Source organism: Homo sapiens, chromosome 12, assembly GCF_000001405.40.
Source record: "Homo sapiens chromosome 12, GRCh38.p14 Primary Assembly".
NCBI lineage: Eukaryota > Metazoa > Chordata > Mammalia > Primates > Hominidae > Homo > Homo sapiens.
In genome coordinates, this window is record NC_000012.12 from 58158612 (window position 1) to 58179265 (window position 20654).

The window sequence follows — 20654 nt, forward strand, 5'->3', positions numbered from 1 at the left end:
AGGAAATTTGCCTCTTTCCAGGCAGTTTTTACTCCATTTCTCTTGAACTTTATACAAATGTAATCATACAGTGCATTTGCTTTTGGGCCTGGCTTTGTTCACTGAATGCAATCCTGCTGTTGTATGTATTAATAGTGCTTTCTTTTAAAAATTGCTGTTAGTGTTCCTTTGTGTGAACATACAATGATCTATTTACCTATTTACCAGTCTATCAGCTTTTGGGTTGTTTCTAGCTTTTGGCTATCATGGTTATGAACATTCTTTTGTGTATCTTTTGGTGGACATATGTACTCATTTCTCTTGGGTAAATACTCAGGGATGCAATTGCCAGGTCATAGGGAAGGTTCACGTTTGGCTTTAGTAAATGCTGGCCTGGGCCTGATTTGAGGTTTTAAGTAGCTTTGGCATTCTCATTTTCCAAGAAAAGAATCACTTTGAAGGAATCACAGAAGCAGAGGGTTAGAAAGTAAGACCTAAAGAAGAGAAGGACAGAGTGATTCTGTTTAGGCTTAATGTATGCTTGCTTGTTAGATGATGACAGGTGAGAGGTCTAGGTCAGATGGGTAGGAGGGATCGAACTTGTGGAAAGCATAGGCTTGGATCCCCAGAGAGAGCCCGGGACATAAGCAGGGGCTGTGGCAGTGCTGAGTGCATCTGAGAAGTCCTTGTATAAGTTGAGGGGTGTGACTGTGCGAGGACAGAGATGTGGGTGGATGCAGGGGATAGCCACACAGGCCCTGTTTAGTCTCCCAGGAGGAGAGTGATATGGTTTGGTTGTGTCCCCACCCAAATCTCATCTTGAATTGTAGCTCCCATAATTCCCACATGTTGTGGGAGGGACCCAGTGGAAGATAATTGAATCATGGGGCAGTTTTCCCCATACTATTCTCATGGTAGTGAATAAGTCTCACAAGATCTGATGGTTTTATAAGGGGTTTCCTCTTTCACTTGGCTCTCATTTTCTCTTGCCTGCCGCCACATAAGATGTGCTTTTGCCTTCTGCCATGATTGTGAGGCCTCCCATGCCATGTGCAATTGGCCACATGCGTCCATTAAACCTCTTTTTCTTTATAAATTACCCAGTCTCAAGTATGTCTTTATAAGCAGTGTGAAAATGGACTAACACAGAAAGATATGGGGAATGGAGTTCAAGTCAGAAACTGGAGCCACATTTCAGGGTCCACAGCCGGGAGGCTGCCTCACACAGAACAGCTGGCTGCTCTGAGTTCTGCCTTGGTTTTCTATGGGGTATAGAAGTTAGGCAGCTTTAATATGCAAAGGTGCAGGGTCTGTCCATCAGTATTTTTTGAAAGCCAAGGATGCTTAAAAGAAGAGGAAGAGAGATCACAGCACTCTCCACTAGCTGAGAACAGTGTGAAGGCAGCCATGTGCAAGCCAGGAAGAGAGCTCTCACCAAAACCTGACCATACTGGCAACCTCATTTCGGACTTGTAGCCTCCAGAGCTGTGAGATAACTTCTGTGGTTTAAGCCACGTAGTCTGTGGTACTTTGTTACAGCACTGCCAATGAACATAGTCAGGGCTGAGAACTGCTGAGATGAGTGTCAGTTGCATACTCTGAGAGACACAGGGTTTGGCATAGAACCTCCAAACTGGTTTGCCAAAGCTCTCCAATTTGTCCCAGGGATTTAAAAATATGCCCTGAGTTGGTTCTAGGTGTGCCAAGGTATTGAGTTTCCTCTTAACCCTGGAGGTGGCTGAATTGCCAGAGTAGTTATTAATAACGTCATAAATAATGTTCTCTGTTTATTTTCAGTGTATCAGACAAATGTTATCATTTTCTTTAGGTCCTATGAAAGTGAAAAAGGGTGGAAGAAGTGAGAGCACTCACCCCTGCTGCTGCTTAATGCGGAGCTTAGCCCTGTCACACAGGATTTCTAGCTGAGCACCAGGCCTGGTTATGTGTGTGTTGGCTGAGGTGGGGGAGTGAAGATCCCATTTCTATAATAAGAAGCCAGAAGAATAATTGTATTTAGACTTTGTACATTGGGTTGCTAAATGATGAGAGATGGGAAGTAGATGAAATTAGAAGTATCAGTCAGCTAAAAATGGTCAGCTTAGGTTAAGAAATGAGTTAGTCTTTCCAAACCATTTCTCCTTGATACTTGTATCAGACAAGTAGGCTTACAGATGATTGTAAATACAATTCATTAAGAAATTAGGTCTACAACTTATTATCTCTAAAAGAGATGCCAAGGAGTAAAATGACTAAAAAAATTGCTTGCATAATTCTCTCTGTTCTATGAATATCATTAAAATGGAGAGGAGGAATTCCCTAGGGAAAAATCCATCAGTTTTCAACCGTTACCAATAATGACAGTGCAGATTTCGTGACCTCTTCCTATCCATTCTCTTCCACCTGCCACTCTCAAAGAGAAAGCTCCAAGCAAGGATGGATTCCTGGGTGGTCTGGAGTTTGCACCTGGTGCGTCCAGGAGGCAGGTTACTCATCATGAAGGGAAGGATAGGAGCTCAGTGTGGAGAGGTTTTACGAAGAGAAAAATACCGTAGGTTCTTTCCCTCTCAGATTCGTGGCACGCAGTGGGAGAAATGCATGGGCAAACATGAGAAATGCATGGGCAAACATGAAAAATTGTTTTGGGAAATATTCTTAGGTAGAATATGCCTGGGACTAGAAAGAATTTTTTCTAAAGTGAGTCCTGAGAAACACTTGTTTCATTCTTCTCAGAATGTTAATAGGTGTTCTATGAAAAATATGTGTTTAAGATGGGTGCACAGTATTAGCCCTTTCCAAACTTGTTTAATACAGAACCATGTTCAGTGCTTCATGGAGTGCATGTTAAGAAACCATGTGTTAGAGACACATGAAAGTGGTGTAGACTTTAGATTGTTTTCTAGAACACTCCACTTAAAGCCTCTCAAACGCTAGCGGTGGAAAAGATCCGAGTTATTCCGAGTTACTCCAAGTTACCAGCCGCGAATTCTTATAGGTCTGCAGCAACTTCAGCTCTTCGCCCCCTCAGAAGAAAGAATTCAACTGAGGGGTATAAGGCAGGAGAGACCGAGGCAGGCTTCAGAGCAGGAGTGAAAGTTTATTGAAAAGCTTTAGAACAGTAACAAAAGGAAGGAAAGAAAAGAAGGAAAGTACAACTTGGAAGAGGGTCAAGCAGACGACTTGAGGAACCAAGTGCACAGTTTGACCTCTTGACTTGGGGTTTTATATATATTGGCATACTTCCGGGATCTTGCCTTACTTCTCACCTACTCCTGAGATCTTATTGGAAAGCTGCTGGTCAGTTTCAGGTGTTTTCTATCTAGTAGGAGCCTGCCTTTCCCTGGTGCCGGCTGTGAGCAATTATTATTTTAGAGAAACAGTTAACCACAGCCTGACCATCACCTGATTGTCATCCAACATTCCTGGCATGTGTGTGTGGGGAGCCCTCTCCTTTTCTGCAGATACCTGACTAGCTACCTACTGTAACAAAATCAGGACACAGGAAACTTCCTTTTCTTCCCAGTTTTCTTTTCTAATTTCTTTCTTCAAGTCCTTACCAAACAGAAGTTCTTTTTTTTTTTTTTTCTTATAGAGAAAAGGTTTTTCTCTGTCACCCAGGCTGGAGTGCAGTGGCAGGATCCTAGCTCAACTGCAATCTAGAACTCTTGGGCTAAAGTGATCCTCCTGCCTTAGCCTTCCAACTCTCTGGGACTATAGGCACATGCCACCATGCCTGGCTAAATTTTATTTTTTTTTCTTTTTGATAGAGACAGGGTCTTGCTCTGTTGCTTAGGCTGGTCTTGAACTCCTGCTTTGAAGCGATCCTCGAGTTTCGGCCTTCCAAAATGCTGGGATTACAGACTGAACCACCACACCTGCCCGTGAACACTTCTGAGCCAAGTCATTGTAATGTACCATGGCACTTAAAGATAAATAAGACAAGTTATTTGTTTGGTCTGGATCTCAGTTTATTCATTTGTGAAACAGGAAGATTGAATTATGATTACTATTGTCTCTCCCACATCTTTAATTCTACGCTTTTTTAATTTAAAAAGCATGATCCCTGATCCCAAGGTGATAACTGCCTTGGGGTACAAGCCTATTGCAAACGACATAACTAGCCAGCAATTGAAATGGCACATATCTGTGTGTCAAATTGTGTGGTGCAGATTAGAGGGGCTATACAAGTGCAGAGAGGGGAAACCAATGAGGCTGGTGCACTTCTAGCTCTCTGTTTTTTCTTGCTACATTAGGCACTCAATAGAGCCCCTAAAATAATGATTTAATGAGAATGCATTTGGCTATAGAGATTTAAAATGCATTTACTACATGGAAGGACTTGTTCTGTCTACTTAAGCTCCCTTAATAACATTGCAGAGGTTAGCTACAACGTGAGATTAATGAAAACATCTCTGTCGATGTAAGCATTTAATACTTATTGAAATAATCATTAGATTACTAATGCCTTTGCAGAACTTGAAGACTTGAACTAAAAAATGTTTCAGGCTGAAGGCACGAATAGGATCCTAGCATGTTAGAGCTAGAAGAGTCCTAAGGGATCATTTAAGTCTAGGGTCAGCAAACTTTTTCTGTAAAGGGCCAGATAGTAAATATTTTAGGCTTTGGGGGCCATTAGATCATGCTGCAACTATTCAACTCTGCTGTTGTAGCACAAAAGCAGCGTAGACAATATGTAAATAACTGGATGCGGCTGTGTTCCAATACAACTTTATGTACAAAAACAGGAGGCAGGCTGGATTTGGCTGGTGGGCTGCAGTTGTTGAACCTCGATGTGAATGCAATCCAGGTTAGTGAAGGGGGTTGATCAAGGTCACACAGAGCTATGGACTGAATTGTGTCTCCCAAAAAACCACGTTGAAGCCCTACCCCACAATGTGGCAGTATTTAGAGATAGGGCCTACCAAGAGGTAATTTAAGTTAAATGAAGGTGTAAGAGCAGAGCCCTGATATGATAGAATTGTGTAGTTAGAAGAAGAGACACCAGAGCACTCTTTGTCTCTTTCTGCCATGTGAGCACACGGTGAGAAGGTGGCCATCAACAATCCAGGAAGAGAGCCCTCCCCAGACTATGCTGGCACGCTGACCTCAGACTTCCAGCCTCCAGTACTGTGAAAAAATAAATTTCCGTTGTTTAAGCCACCCAGTCTATGGCATTTTGTTATGGCCACCTGAGCTAACACCCACAGCAAGTTAGGGGCAAAGTGAGCTCTGGCATCCAGATCTTCTGAAGGCATTTCAAACAGCATTGGGTGGGAAAAGAATGAGAATATTGGCTTACATTTAAAAAGGAAAGCATTTAATTTTTCCCATTTCACTTCTTAATACTTTGGCCCAATATATAGGTTAATAGATAATAGATCAAATAATTAGATCTTCATTTTGGAAAGCTGAAATGTTGAGTTGGATATAAAATAAAACCCTTTAGGAGATTAAGCAAGGGATAGATAAAAGTTGGGGACTTAGACCACATTTCTAACTTTGCCTCCATCTCCTTTGGGGACTTAATCTCTCTTTGGCTACTTCTGTTATCCATGTGCTTCTCATTTCCTGCCCTTTGCTACATGTCCGTCTTCATCTTTAAAGCTTCATGAGAGTAGAGTCACATTTTGTTTACATAAACTACAGTAAATGATATAAAGAAAAGGTACTGATATAATGAAGGTGTAAAATAGGGAAACCAAAGAAGGTTTTCCTAAGCAAGTGATGTTTGTGGCAAGATATATATAAAAAAGTGTTAATCAGGTGAAAGAAAGATGGGGAGTGGAGGGAAGAACATGGCCAGAGTCATGAGATGAAAGAAAGCAGATGCACTTGAGGAATTGGTAGGGGCCAGGAGGGCTGGAACACAGTTACACAAATGAGTCTGGAGAGAATGACAAGGGCCTGGCTACTTGGAACCTTGTAGACCAGATTTGGGGTTGTTCTAAGCATAATGAGAAGCCATTGCAGAGCTTTAAGCATCTTTAATGTAACTCAGGTTGCATGCAACATATTGTGGAGAACAAAAGTGATTGGAAGAAGGCCAGTTCAGAGATTCTTGCTGTATGATGGTGGTTTGAATCAGGGATCTCAGCGTTAGTTGAGATTGAGAGAAGAAAATGGAGTTGAGACACTTTGAGGAGAACTTGGTGAGGATTGGATACAGGGGTGAAAGAGTGCAAGGTGTAGATAATTCCCCAATACTTGGCTTGTGAAACTAGAGATGTAGGGTGTTTTTTCCGCAGGTTGGCAACACTAGAGGAGAACTGGGTTTCAGATAGGAGCAGGTGGGAGTGGGTTGTGGTTGAGTCTGAGGTACCCACAGAGATGCTGAGTAGGTAGTTGGGCAAATGGGCCTTTGTTAGGCTCTCCCTTAACCATAATTAAAATTTGTAGTATCTTCAAAGGGTAAAGAGAAAGCAGAAACATTTTCGGTGAAAAATGAGTACAGAAAAACTAATCCATGTGCCTCTGATTCATGATCCTGGGGAGCTGTGTCTGATAGAAAACCCCAGTGCTGGGGTTGGCTTGAAGTAAAATAATAGAGACCATGACTCTTCAATGCCCTCCTACTGAAGGAGAGATCATCCTTCTAAAATCTTATAAAATCTTATAGATCTAATGGTAGCTTCTTCAGGCTGTAATACTGCATCCTTTAGTATTTTCCTATTCACATTTAAAAGATCCAAACTTCCTTCTCACAAGATCTTGCATGATTTGGCCTCAGCCAACCTCCCTAATGTCATCTGGCACTCTTCTTCCTAGATTCCAGCTAGGCTGGCTTCCTCCTGGTTCCTCTCACAATCCGGACTTGCTTCTGCCTCAGGCCTTTTTAACTTGAAGCCCTCTTCCTGATGTGCTCCTCCCTTGCACTCTTTTTGGCAGCTTTGTGTGAGGTTTGTGCTTAAATCTCACTTCGTCAGTGGGACCTTCCCTGTTCACCCACTTTAAGTATTCAGCCCCATTCCATTCCATTCCATTACTTTCCTTTATTTTTACCAAAGGCCGTGGGAGCCCACCTTTTCCATCAGTGCACCCTGGATGTGAGACATGGAGTCAAAGGAGATTATTTTGGAGCTTTAAGATTTAATGACTGCCCTGTTGGATTTCAGACTTGCATGAGGCCTTTAGCGCCTTTGTTTTGGCCAGTTTCTCCCATGTGGAATGGGAGCATTTATCCAATGCCTGTACCCCCATTTGTATCTTGGAAGTAACTAACTTACTTTTGATTTTACGGGCTTCTAGGTGGAAGGGGCTTGCTCTGTCTCAGATGAGACTTTGGACTTGGACTTTTGGGTTAATGCTGGAAAGAGTTAAGACTTTGGGGGACTGTTGAAAAGGCATGAGATTTGGGAGGGGGCAGGGATGAAATGATATGGTTTGGCTCTGGGTCCCCACCCAAATCTTATCTTAAATTGTAATCCCCACATGTGGAGGGAGGTAGGTAACTGAATCATGGGGGTGGCTTCCCCCATGCTGTTCTCATGATAGTGAGTTCGTTCTCATGAGAGCTGATGGTTTTATAGGCATCTGGCATTTCCCCTGCTTTCAATTCTATCTCCTGCCACCATGTGAAGAAGGTCCTTGCTTCCCTTTCCTCCATGATTGTAAGTTTCCTGAGGCCTCAGCAGCCATGTGGAACTGTGAGTCAATTATACCTCTTTCCTTTATAAATTACCCAGTTTTGGGTATTGCTTTATAGCAGTGTGAGAATGAACTAATACAATTTTTTTATTGATCTTTTACCAGGTGAAATTGAGTTTGTATGTTTATTCATCTATTTCTCCCTATTGAATGAAAGTTTCATGAGAATGGGAACCGAGTCTGTCTTGTTCAGTGCCTTATCACCAGCACCTGTTCCAGTACCTGTTCAGTTGGAGGTGCTCATAAAGCTTTTGTTTAATGAATGAGGTTTCTATTAGGCACTGGGAAAACACAGATAAATATTGAGAGGAATGCTAAGCCTCGCAGGCTGCAAATGTCAGACAATGGGGAAATGTCGGTGCTTTGGAGAGGAGTAGGGTGTCGGGGACAATTTCTGGGCAGAGATGTTACCGGTGGAAGGCATGCTTAGTTATCAGTGGCAAATCCATACGGGTCTATAGCAACCTCAATTCTTGTCTCCTCAGAAGAAAGAATTCAACTGAGGGACATAAAGCAGAAAAAGAGACTGAAGCAAGTTTCAGAGCAGGAGTGAAAGTTTATTTAAAAAGGCCAAGTGGTCACCTTGAATAAAAGCATGATGTTTAACCATGATTCAGCACTTTACAGGCTGGCCTTTTTCCCGTGATTCTTCCCTTAGCATGGGCTGCTTGCATGCACAGTGCCCTCCTTACCCTTGGCAAGTGAACATGTACAATGTGTTTAGGAAGTTGTACACTTGCCCATCTGAGGCGTTCTTCCCTTTTCCGGTGAACTGCCCCTGGAAGGTCTAGTCTGCCATTTTGTCTCTTAATGCACATGCCCAGGAAGTTGCTTCTCACTGGCATCTGCATTCAATTAACATTTTAGTGCAACAGGTGTAGACCATCAGGAAATGGCCTCTTCCTGATGCTGGCTGCCAATTTATCACTTTTAGAGAGGCAATGTGATAATTGCAGAACCATCAGTCATTCCTAGTGGGTGGGAGAGCCCTCCTGCCCCACTTATACCTATCTGTGACAAAGATGCTGAGGACAAATAGTTCAAATAATCCCACGATTCAATACTCAGCATGTCATAGTCCTGGCCACTAGTTGACAAAAGCTTTCAACTCTATTAGGAAGTTTAGAGAAAACTCTCAATTTTATCATGGCATTCAAGAGGAAAATGGGATGGATTTTTTAAATATTTAAAGTAAACTTTGGGGAGAAAACCTGTAAGTGAAGGATTTTGAATTCAAAATGGACAATCTTACAAGGTTTCAGAAGATGACTTCATTTAAATAAGGATTCTGACTACATTACCAGGAGTTTTCTGCCCTTCGAAGAGGTCTGGAAATCTGTGTAAAGAATCCCACTTCCTTGGAAATCAGTGGTTTTACTGTCTGAATGACCACTATGTAGTTCTACGGTCCACATTCAAGCCTCACTCCAGTGAAGCTCACTGTCATGTGTTGTAAAGTGTAACCTGTTGTTCATGAACCCCAAACAATGCAGGGGCTATTTATTAGTGATTTGAAGGAAGTGCATACAGCTCATTCCTCAGTGTGTGAAGCTGCTGCTGTTGCATATTGAAACTTGCTTTTGGGGGCAGGTGGATTTTAAATATGAAAGCTGACCTCTATGCAGGTGGCTAACTGTAGTGAAGCCCTTGCCACACAGCTGTGCTGGAACTGCATTTAAACAAGCCAGACTTAGGGGCCTGAATTACTAATTGCCCCCCACTAATTGTGGCAAAAGAAATGAGGAATTTTGAAGAGCATTACATTCAAAATGGTAGGTAAGAGTTTAGTCCATTTCTGGTTTTCCACCTAAGTAGCCACACAGTGTTGAATGAGATCAAGTCCCTGCCATTATGGAGGAAACATCACCACCACCAACAGTAATTATAACAATAATAAATATTTATTGAAGAATTCCTACACACTAGGAACCCCTCCAACTGATACAAATGAACTATCTCACTTAATTCTCCTAATAACTTCGAGGTAGATTCTGTTATTATGATTATTTTCCAGATGAAGAAACTGAGACACAGAGCTGTTATATAACTTGTCTAAAGTTATGTGACTTGGAAGTAGCAAAGCCAGGTTTTGAACTCAGATGTCAGAGTGCACTCTCTTAGCCACATACCCTAATGGGTAATTACAGTATGTAAGTGCTACAGGATAAGTACAGTGGAAGCATTCTTAAACCTCCCTACCTAATTGACCTACTGCATTAGCCAACACTCTCCTTCCTCGTGTAAAACATACTTAACAGTTGTCTCTAGCACCTTGAAAACTACAACTGGAAGGCTACTGTATAGCACACTTGAACACTGTTATTGCCAACAGGTAAGCTGTTTGTAGAGACAATATAAGCTCCCTCTTGGAGAAATAAAACATACAATTAAAAACATGAATCTCTTCTAAGAAGGACATCATCTTAAATTAAAGGGAAACTAGCAAACCATCTATTGGACCTATATTACTTAGTTTCTGTGTGCTATTAAATTTGATTTGTGACTTGGTAAACCAAAGAGTTTTGGGTAGTGCAATAATTAAGTGAGATGAAGATTTTTGAGGAAGATTGAAATTTGATTATAATTACTGTCCTCTACCATAGGGTCAATTTTCTTCACTGGGTTTTTCTTCCATGTAATATAAAGAGATAAGGACTGTCCTGCTATCAAATTGTCTTGTTACAAGACTAAACTTCTATGCTTGTAAAGCCTATTTTAATCATTGCAGAAATCATAAAACATGGCTGGGGTAGAAGATAATTAATTATAGGTTATAAATTTACCCATTTTAATCAAGTCAGATACAACTGAACCTACAATGAACTTTCTAGCAATGAAGTAAAGAATGAACCAAAAAATGGAGAGTTTGTTATAATCTGAATCCTTAATAACCTCAGGTCGTGATAGTCTGCTGTGGTGTTCCCTAGTACCAGACAGGCAAGCTCTTAAGCTGAGGCCATTTCACCCCAGATGGCACCTGGAAGGTCACTTTCAATGTTTGTCTCTTTGATCTGTTTATATGCTTCAATCCTTGACCAACTCTCTATGATTGTACTCTTTTAAAAATACCATCTTTTGTTTTGAATATAAAAGTTACATGTATGCATTGTAGAAAATACAGACAAATATAAAGATGTTAAACATTTCCGTAACATATGTTCAAGAAAAAAAGTTAACATTGGGGATATTTTAACCCAGGCTAAGTTGTTTTCTTTTTAGAAAATTTGTATTATAATGTTTTTGTTTCACTTAATATATCATGAACATTTCCCCTGACATCTTTGGGGTCTTTCTTGTGAAAATGATTTATAATGGCCCTACAACATTCCATTATTTAGATGACCTAATTCCCCTACTTTTGTGCAAGTGAATTGCTTCCATTCTCTTTCCTTTCCTTCTTTCTTTGAATTTTGTAAACCTCAATTCAGTTATTCCTTATTTTCAAGATGGCAGATTGGGTTACAAATTTAAATTATAACTTGAAAATCTTTAATAACAAGAAATTTAGTTAAAATCAATTTATTCATAAGTAATCATGGAAAAAACAAAAAATATAGAGTGAGGAGGGGTAGGAGAGACACTTGAGTAAGTATTGTCAAGGTCTACATTTTCATTTTTAGGAAAGTTAAAGTTTAGTTTCAGTCCCAACATTATACAACATTATACAGAGAAAGATTTTATTGTCATACAGTCTAGTTTCTAATTAGTCCACAAACTACTTCCTGCTGTCTTGGGTAGGCTGAGATGCATTTACAGAACCTTCTTTGTTTGCAGCTTTAAATCTGAATTGCTCTTGTCATTTGTCTTCTTTCCTGCCAAGCTGAGACAATGCATTTTTGCTCTACCCATTGGCCATGTGATTCTGTTCCTTTTGGTACGTCATATTCTGCACCGAGTTCTGGTAGCTCAGGCAATTCTGTGCTTTCTTGTATTCTTTATTATGCAGCCATTTTTGGCAAGAATCCTTCAAGAACAGGAGAAATATTTTTCTTATGGACATCAAACAGTGAGCATCTGAAGCAAGGCCTGCTGTCTTTTCCAAAATGACTAAATCCTGGATGTGTTTGATTGAAGCTTGTGTCACTCTGCTAGCTAGGTGAATTGTTGCTGACTGATTTTATCAGTGAATTCTAGATAGGATCCCTATTTTTTCAGCTACATCGATGAGCAACAAAATGTTACTGCGGTAGAGAAAGTCATCAAAATAACCACAGAAATTTCTTCGATTAGAAAATACATGATAAACCCAGTACAAAGCACGTAAGGTGCTGGACTTCAGTTTTAGGATGAAGCTGGAAGAAATCCTCAGGGATCTCCTTTCTTGTTATTATTCATCTACTTTTCCTTCATGTTCAGGAAGAGGTGATAACAGGTGAGATATGACAGCCTGGTGTAGCAGAGCCTTAGTCTTTGATATAGTTTGGCTGTATTCCCACCCAAATCTCATCTTGAATTGTAGCTCCCATAATTCCCACATCATGGGAGGGACCTGGTGGGAGGTAATTGAATCATGGGGGCGGGTTTTCCCTGTGCTGTTCTTGTGATAGTGAGATCTGATGGTTTGTAAAGGGGGGTTCCCCTGCAAACGCTCTCTTGCCTGCTGCCATATAAGATATGACATTGCTTCTTATTTGCCTTCCACTATGTTTGTGAGGCCTCCTCAGCCATGTGGAACTGAGAGTCCATTAAACCTCTTTCCTTCAGAAATTACCCAGTCTCTGGTATGTCTTTATTAGCAGTGTGAGAACAGACTAATACAGTCTTCTTTACTCCCCTTTCAGGGAGAGCTGTGCTTTTCAGGGAGGAAGCTGCAATGATGGTAGCAGACATCAGACACGTGGGACAAAGTGTTGAGAGGCCAGGCAGTGGCTGCAGTACCCCTGTGGCCCAGATGGCACAACTAGTCAGCTGTGGTGCTAAGATGGCAGCTTCTCACGTTTTTAATCAATAATTTTTATGAATTTACGTGATAGGTTAGAGTTCTAGAAGTATTTAGCAAGACATAAGTGTTCAATCTATTTTTCATATGAAAACTTAGCTTATTCTGTGTTGGTGGAAGCCCCGTGGTCAGTCCTTGGGAAGAGCCCTGTAGAAGTCAGGTGAGAGGCCTGAGCTCACAGCACCTGTAACCAACGGTGCAATACTAGGCCGAGGGCAGGGCTCTGCCTGTAGCCAAAATTTCCCTGTAGAAAACATTTTTCCTTGCTCAGGCCTCATTTTTTAACATTGCTGCAAGTTCAAGATGCAATCAGGATGGAAACGGGTCCTTTGGGCCTGCATCAGGAGTGAAGAGGAGTGGAGGGTGTGTATGATTACTGGTGGTGGCATCCTCACAGGATTGACTTTGTATATTGATGGAAGTCCTTCCTGACCATGTTATTATTCATTGCAACAATTTTAGTTAGTTAATTATTTATTACATTGTTCCCCCTAGTAGATGTAATGGAACAAGAATCTTTATACAAGGACTATACAAATGCTGTCCTTCTACCTTATATAATGGAAGGCACTTTTGCCAGTTCAAGATAATTGCTATCATTAAATATTGATAGAGCATAGCTGTTTTTTTTTTAAATTTCTAGAAGTAGAAATAGAGGAAAGAACTCTGGGAAATATAATCAATGTGTCCTGGACTTATCATCCAACGGGCACCAGGTCTCAAGGAGGAAGAAAATTATTTGGGAGAAGAATGCTTTTCTTTTTGATTTTTAATAAGAGACCTCCCAGGTGCTGACTATTGTCTGAGCTGTGAGAGAAAGGAGACATTTTACAAGGCAGAAGGGAAGAAAGAACAAGCACTTTTAAAGATCAAGCCAGAGTACAACTGTGTGTGTTCTTTAACCTTGGGCATGCTGCCCAGAAAAGAATGCAGAAGGAAAATATAAGTTGGCTTCTGCAATTGGAGTAAGACTAATTAGAAGAAGGAGGCAGAGGTCTTTGAGATCACTATACGGAATGGAGTCTCAGGCTGAACGATTAAATCTGAAACAACAGCAGGCCTTGGACAGATGAAAGCAAATCAAATTGTGAGTGGGAGTCAACTTTGCCTCAAGCAGGCTAAAGAACAGAGAAGGCAAGTCATAGGGTCCTCTCCAGCAGGGCCCTAGCCCGCCTGGAAAAGGCAGAGTTATGCCCTCTTCCTCCTTTCCCAGAGCAATTGGAGTGGTTTTATTCTCATAAAAATAAAATAAATGTATTCATTCACTTTCTCTTTCCAAAAACGGTTTGAAGAGTTAATAGAACATTAAGGGCAAGCTTAAACGAAGGCAAATAACTCACAAAGGGACAATGTGGGGGTCTCAAGTAGGAGTTTCTGCCCTAGGACCGGTGGAGGGGATGGATTTGCCTCGTTGCTTTGGTGATAGCGTGCGATGGCGGCGGTGGGAACAGGAGCTGTTTAACACGTGATCGCTGTGTGTGTGCGTGTTTGTGTGTAGGAGTGGTTTGCCTTAACCACCTATCACTAGGCTTCACAGATTTGGAAGGGAGTATGTGTTTCACTTAGGACCCAGAGAATGGGGATATATGGGGTACTTCCCTAACATTTAGACGCCCTGCTGTCTCCTAGTCTGGTCATGAATGCTTCTGAGGAGGTCTCAGGACGCTTGACGTCATCAGGTGGAACCGCGCACGCACTTCCTCCCTCTGCCAGTTCTCAAGTCAGCACAGCCCCGGGACCCCACGGTGTGGAAACACCACCCCACTGGTTCTCCTAGGGCAGTGTGGACATTGTTTGGCCATCTTTTTCCAGCTCTCAATTTTTTTTCTCAGGTGCATCTCGATGAGATGAGACCCAGCAAAAGAAAAGAAACCTTAACCTGGGATCGAAAAAAAGCATTTGAAATAAAATCAATCATCTTAGAATCAGGGCGTGGCAAAGGAACACTCAGGACTGTGGGTAGTGGTAGGACACACTCACATGTCTCACACAGATGTGCAAAGGAAATAGAGTTTGTTTCTTAAAACTTACGCGATCTTCCTTACCGACCGCACTCTCCTGGATGGTAGTAGTTAGGGAAAGACGCGGAAACCAACTTTAAACTTGCCAATTAACGCTATTCCAGAACCTTGGGATTTAAATAGTCGCTCTCGGATGACTTAGTTTCTTTTGGGTAAGTGTTTAGTCGTTTATATTTCCACCTCATGCCCCTCCCCCTCTAGGATGGCCCCTGGATAGATCAGGGTGTGGGGCATGTGTGACCTCACGTTAGCAGGGTAGACACGGGAGTTTCCGATGCATGCGGGGCCCTTTGCATCCTCACTGGTCTTTACTGCGTGATAGCTGAACTAGTCTGTTCCCTGAGCTGCTGTTGGAGATGGGCCTATCTGGCTACTTGGAGATCAGGTACCTAGCACCGAGTTCATGCTTTTGCCTCTGGCCATGCAGTTCTTGGATGCTGTAACCGTTTTATCCTGATTGCAATCCTCCACAGGCCCTCCTGTCCTGGAACACCTGATCCAGGGCGGACAGGAGGTCCCAGATCTCTTGTGAACCTTCCTGGGCCTTGGGAAGCCAGGAGCGCTGCCAGGGCCCTTCTGTTTAGCCTCCTCTCTCTACCAGTCTGAACTTTTGTTCCCATGCTATTTGGGATGAGGCCCTGGGTATGTTTACTCTTGTGCCTTGCAGGCTCCCCAAACTATGCCGAGGGGAGCTTGCCAGTACAAATCCCACTAACTCATGTGCTCGCCCATATCTACCTGGATGCTTCTACCGTGTCTTTTCCTCCCAGGGTTTCGCTTCAGAGGCGATAAGTGAAATCATGAGTATTTTATCTGTTATTGCTTCTCTCTCCTCCCCATATTCCACTGGGGTTTGAAACACGAAGGGCTTCCATTTTCTCTTCCTGTCTGGTCGGAACTTTCTTGACCCTATACTCTCCTTCTTCTTGCGGTGGCATGTACTTTCCCTCCCACCACAGCGTAATGATGAAATGACTGCCAGGGAACCCTCACCATACATCAGTAATGGTTTCACAAATATTTTTCCCATTATGTGTATCAGGAGACAGTGGTGAGCCCCTTTGTCCTTACAATTGTTATGGAAGTTTTCTTTTGTAACAGTTGTCCAGAAATGGAATAGGACTGGTGATTGCTCAAATACTATTTATGGTTTACTATTTAAACATTAAAACTATGAATGTGGAAACAGAAACCTTTGCCTCTGTAAATTGAGCATCTGCAATTTTTGTGTTACAAACTACCATTAACCCTCTTTGTTTTCAGAGCTTGGGATGTTGCAAAGGTCCTGAAAAAAATTTTTGCAGTTTGGCTGGAAATGTTCATGCTTGATTTCAACACATTTACAGAGCATTCACAGGAAATAATTGCAAGTTCACACAATATGCTCTGTGGGTGTGATTCGGATCAGCTCTCAAGAGCACGGAATGAAGGCTTTCAGCCATTTAGGCAAAGAAACATTAAAATAATGATAAAAGGATCCCACTGCAATTGAAGGGAGTGAAAAAGAATTAGATAGTAAGGCACACATTTTATCTTCCTTGGGATCAAAAGCTGCTGGGCACACCAGTGGATCTGAATTCTATTATATTGAGAAGTATTCTTAGGGTTTTAAGGATTTGAGCCATGTTAGTTTTGTTTGTTGAATCCTGGTCATAGTAACATTTCACTTCATGGGGGAATAATAGGAGGTAGCAGGGAAGGCTCACAGAATGGAGCTTACTCTTTATGAGAAAAAAATGTGCTAAAGATTTGAGACTTTATTGTTACCAAATGTGGAAGAAAGTATTTTTATGATGCCAGTCTTGTCTCCTGAGACCTCTGAGTTGCTAAACATTGATCTAAACACTGTGAGGGCTGAACAGGAAAATGCGAGATGGGACCCTTACCTTAACATTCATATGAGCTGTTTTGGGGGGTAAAACATGCTTCTGTGGAAGGACTAAATGCAAGTTAACACAAATTAAAGTGTGCCCAGCCTAAGAAACAGAAATCTGAAAACCTGAACACAGAAGACCAAAATCTTAGAGTATATAAAACAGTGATTTGCATAGCCAATGATCAAATATAGGATATACTAAAAATGTAAATATATGCTTCAATTTATTAATAATGATAGCTTGCATCTGTGTTGCCCTTGACTGTTTTCACAGCATTTTCACATACTTATTTTCACACTTCTCACTACTGTTGACCTATTGACCCATTTTTCTGGGACGCAGATATAAGGCAATTGTTAAAGTGTCATACAATTATTATGCCATAGAATCATCACTACTATTTCCTTTTCAGTTGGTTTTTAAAACAATTTTTTCTTTTGGTAGAGACATCTCACTCTGTTACCCTGGCTGGTCTTGAACTCTTGGCCTCAAGCAATCCTTCTGCCTTGGCCTCCCAAAGTGCTGAAATTATAAGCTTGAGCTACCATGTCTGGTCTGATTTAACTTAGTAAGAATATTGCTTTTACCATAGCACTGTACTCCAAAAATCCTATGTCTACTACAAAAGTTTTTAGTTTCACTGTTGAATTTTTTCATGAGATAGACAGAAATACTGGAAATACTGGAGCTATTTTTGGAATTAACTGATATTGTATTTGAAACTTCAGTAATGACAATGACATAAAACTGACAGTTTCAACTTTTGAAGTTTTTTTCTGCTTATGGAGTCACTCCACACAGCTTTCACTTTACCTTTTGTATATGCACAGAAATATTTGGAATAAAAAGTAAGTGAAATTTATTTAGAAGAACAGTCATTTGATATAAATAAAAAGTCATGCCTCACAGAATAATACATAAACACATGTTCTGCAGCTGAAAGTGCTAAATCTTCATCTCTGGGCATAGTCGTCTTAAAATAATTAACTTTTGAAGTAGATGAGGATGCTTCTTAGGTTTGTCTTCAGGTTTTCATGTGGTCAGTGATATCACGATGGCCCTCATGGTGGATGGTAAGTAAGTCTTAACAAATGTTCTTGAGACGTAGAAATTCAATACTTAATTTTTTATTAATAGGCACTTTTAAAAAGATCATTGCAGCTGAAGAGTTTATTACAAAATAAAAAAATTACTGAACACCATATTATAAATGACAAAATCACTTTGGTAAGAGCTTTCAGACTACTTTCTATGATACATTCTATGGTGAAACTGTTCAGACTGTACTCTGATATGTAATGTAATTTCCCACATTTCCCTCTCAATGGTTAGCTGGGAGCCTGGCGTCTCTATGCATTTAGGCATTTCACACAGGCTGGTCCACCTGGCTTATTCATGAAATCGCCAGCAGAGGGAGGAATGATGAGTAGTCTCCTACCACCCGACACTGGAAGTTCGCGAGTGCTTGGATCTGAGTATCTTTTGTCATGTGGGCTTGTATCTGAGTATCTTTTGTCATGTGGGCAAGCATGCACCCTGCATGCTGTTCTTGAAAGTGAGCTATTAATCACGTTGCTCTGAAAAGGGCTGGGAAAAGAGAGATGGATTGTTGATCATCTTTTCGTTTTAAACCATGTGTTAAAGTTAGATCTCTGTTCACTGCCCTGTGTGCCTTACACAAAGCCAAGTAAGAATTATGGCAGAAGCTGGAAGTACAAAGTGGAAGTCTACCAAACCTATCCTGACTTATTTTAATGCAGCTTTAATAAAAATTCCTCAAATGGGACAAATGCTAAACTAGTCCTGGGTCAACAGGCATAAGCCAGTGCTGGCCCAGGGATGAGGAGAATGATATTCACTCTAGTTAAGGACAAGCAACCTCTTTTCTTTACCACATCTTATCCCTTCACATTTGAAACTTTCTTCTCTGCCCCAGATGGATCTCTTCTCTAAGTCAAGCATCCTTATTTCTTTCCTCTGTTCATCATATGAGGTGGATCCCTGCATTGTCCCCTTTTTGGGTGAAGGGTAGGACTACTCAGTGTCCAGACTTTGACTTCATGTTTGATGAACTGTTCAACTAGTTGTTTCTACCTGTGTGGATTAGCTTCTCTGGCTCTGCCCTTTGACATGATGGGCTTAAGAGGGGTTTATAGGAAAAGAAACTGAGGGACCAAATAGGCAACCATTTCGTGTTCCCAGTTCTACCTGAAGAACAAGTGTGATCCCATCCTGTTCATTTTACCTCTGTCCTGTACTGTCTTCTTCATCTGCTTCCTTCATGACATTTCAGAGCTCTCTGTGCATCTGGGTCTGTCTCACGTTATGCAAAAGCAGGTGTAGAGGCCACTGAGTCTGCTTTCTTTATCTAATCACAGTGGTCTAGCTCACCTTCATGCTTCCTTTAACCTGGGGGATAGATATGCTTACCACATCCTGTATTTTTTTTTCCCAAGACTTGACCTCCCAGGCTCAAGTGAGTTTACCGCCTCAGCTTTCCAAGCAGCTGGCACAACAGGTGTGCACCATGATGTCTGGCTAATTTTTTGTATTTTTGTAGAGATAGAGTTTTGCCATGTTGCCCAGGCTGGTCTCAAATGCCTAGGCTCAAGCCATCCATCTGCCTCAGCCTCCCAAAGTGCTGGGACTACAGGCATGAGCCACCATGCCTGACCCTTTGTTGTTCTTATAGAACTCATGTATTACTGTAAATGAGCACCCTTCTAATGATAAAGATATACTTTGTTCTAGAAACAGAATTAAAATAATTTCTTAGATTTCTTCTGTGGCTTATTTCCACAAAATGTGATCCATGCCCTTATGGAACTACTGGTTGCTCTTTAACTTAGATACCTGTTGTGTGAACCATCAGGCATGAGGAACACACTAGTTCTCTAATCTCCTGCTAGAGATGCTTCCCTAGATCTCCTTTCCCTACTTCATCTGTGTTCATTACATTCTCCCCACATTGCTCCAGGCAGAAGGTGAAAACATCGGGGCAGGAGATAGCAAGGAGGTGAGCGCAAGACTGGACAACTTCACAAAGTGATTAGACAGAGCAGAGGACTGTAGAAGGTGGTGAAAGTGATTCCTGTCTCACTCTTCACCCATAAAAATGGTGCAGAACTTAGATTTGTCAGTAGGATCATAGAATGCTGCTATTACTGATCAGAATCTTTGCAATCATATGGTTCCAATCCCTTCATTTCATAAAAGAGAAATAAGAAGTTGAAGGAGGCATCAGTCTGGGAGTAGAATATGGGTCTCTTAATTCTGTTCATCACCATATCTTCTTATTCATGGGTGCCTGGCATAGCAAAAGCTGGGGGGCAGAGGAGAAAAGACTAGGAGTATTGGAAAGAGTATTGTTTTGGGAGTCAGAAAATTTATGTTCTAGTACCAGCTCTGCCATCAAATATCTGTGTAATTTTAGGGAGTCAATTTGCCTTTCTAAACATTAGTGTTCTCATTTATAAATTGATAATATCTAAAGTCTCTTTCATTTCTAAATCTCCACTGAATTGCTGCTTTCCTTCTAGCATTCACTAAGATTTACTTTTAGCTAGATTCTATTCTAAATACATAATCATATTTAACCTTTAAGGAATTCTGAGGTATATTCTGTTATTATTCTATTTTACAGATGAGGAAACTGGAAAGCAGAGAGGTTAAGTAACTTGCTCAAAGTCATGGGACTAATAAATGGAAGATGAAACATGACTCCAAAACCCACTCAGTGGGTGAAAGATAAATGTGTGTGTGTGTGTGTGTGTGTGCGCACGCACAAATGAAGGAGCTTCGGAATCTGCAATATTCACTGAGAGGGGTGTCCAGTAATAAAGAGCTGAGAAACATTGGCTTGAGTCCTACAAGCCTATGTAAGATATATATTTTGAATACATTTATGGACTGCTGTTGCCAGTCGAAGTCTTTTTGCAAATTGTCAAAAATGAAAGCATTTTCTTATTGAGCAACCAGGCACAAGTGGCATAGCTCTTAATTCTTAGATCTCAGAACACTTACCAATCACTCTGGCTTCATAAAATGCCTTTGTTCACCTTGGCTTGCAATCACATTTCCCTGATTCCTTCTTTGAGTTAAAATATTTTTCTCTACTCTTCTGAAACAGAGGCTAAAATTAATAGACAATATTACAACAGGCAATTCGTAATCAGAGAATTGATTTAAGACCTATTA

General features: G+C 41.1%; 1 long non-coding RNA gene across 1 annotated transcript, besides 1 other annotated feature; it reads right to left on the bottom strand.

The window, feature by feature from the left end:
• Positions 14060-15259: an enhancer, noted in NCBI's record as "BRD4-independent group 4 enhancer chr12:58566454-58567653 (GRCh37/hg19 assembly coordinates)". NCBI's record gives its function as "activates an origin of replication core promoter dependent on BRD2, P300/CBP, MED14 and CDK7 cofactors, and independent of BRD4, by STARR-seq in HCT116 cells {active_cell/tissue: HCT116}" and the evidence as "EXISTENCE:reporter gene assay evidence [ECO:0000049][PMID:35650434]".
• Positions 17925-19383, bottom strand: LOC105369786 (uncharacterized). The gene is made up of 3 exons (XR_945004.3): positions 19311-19383; positions 18703-18866; positions 17925-18044 (listed from the first exon to the last, which is right to left on the bottom strand). It is a non-coding gene; the product is annotated as an uncharacterized LOC105369786 (long non-coding RNA).
• Between the last annotated feature and the right edge of the window lie 1271 nt (positions 19384-20654).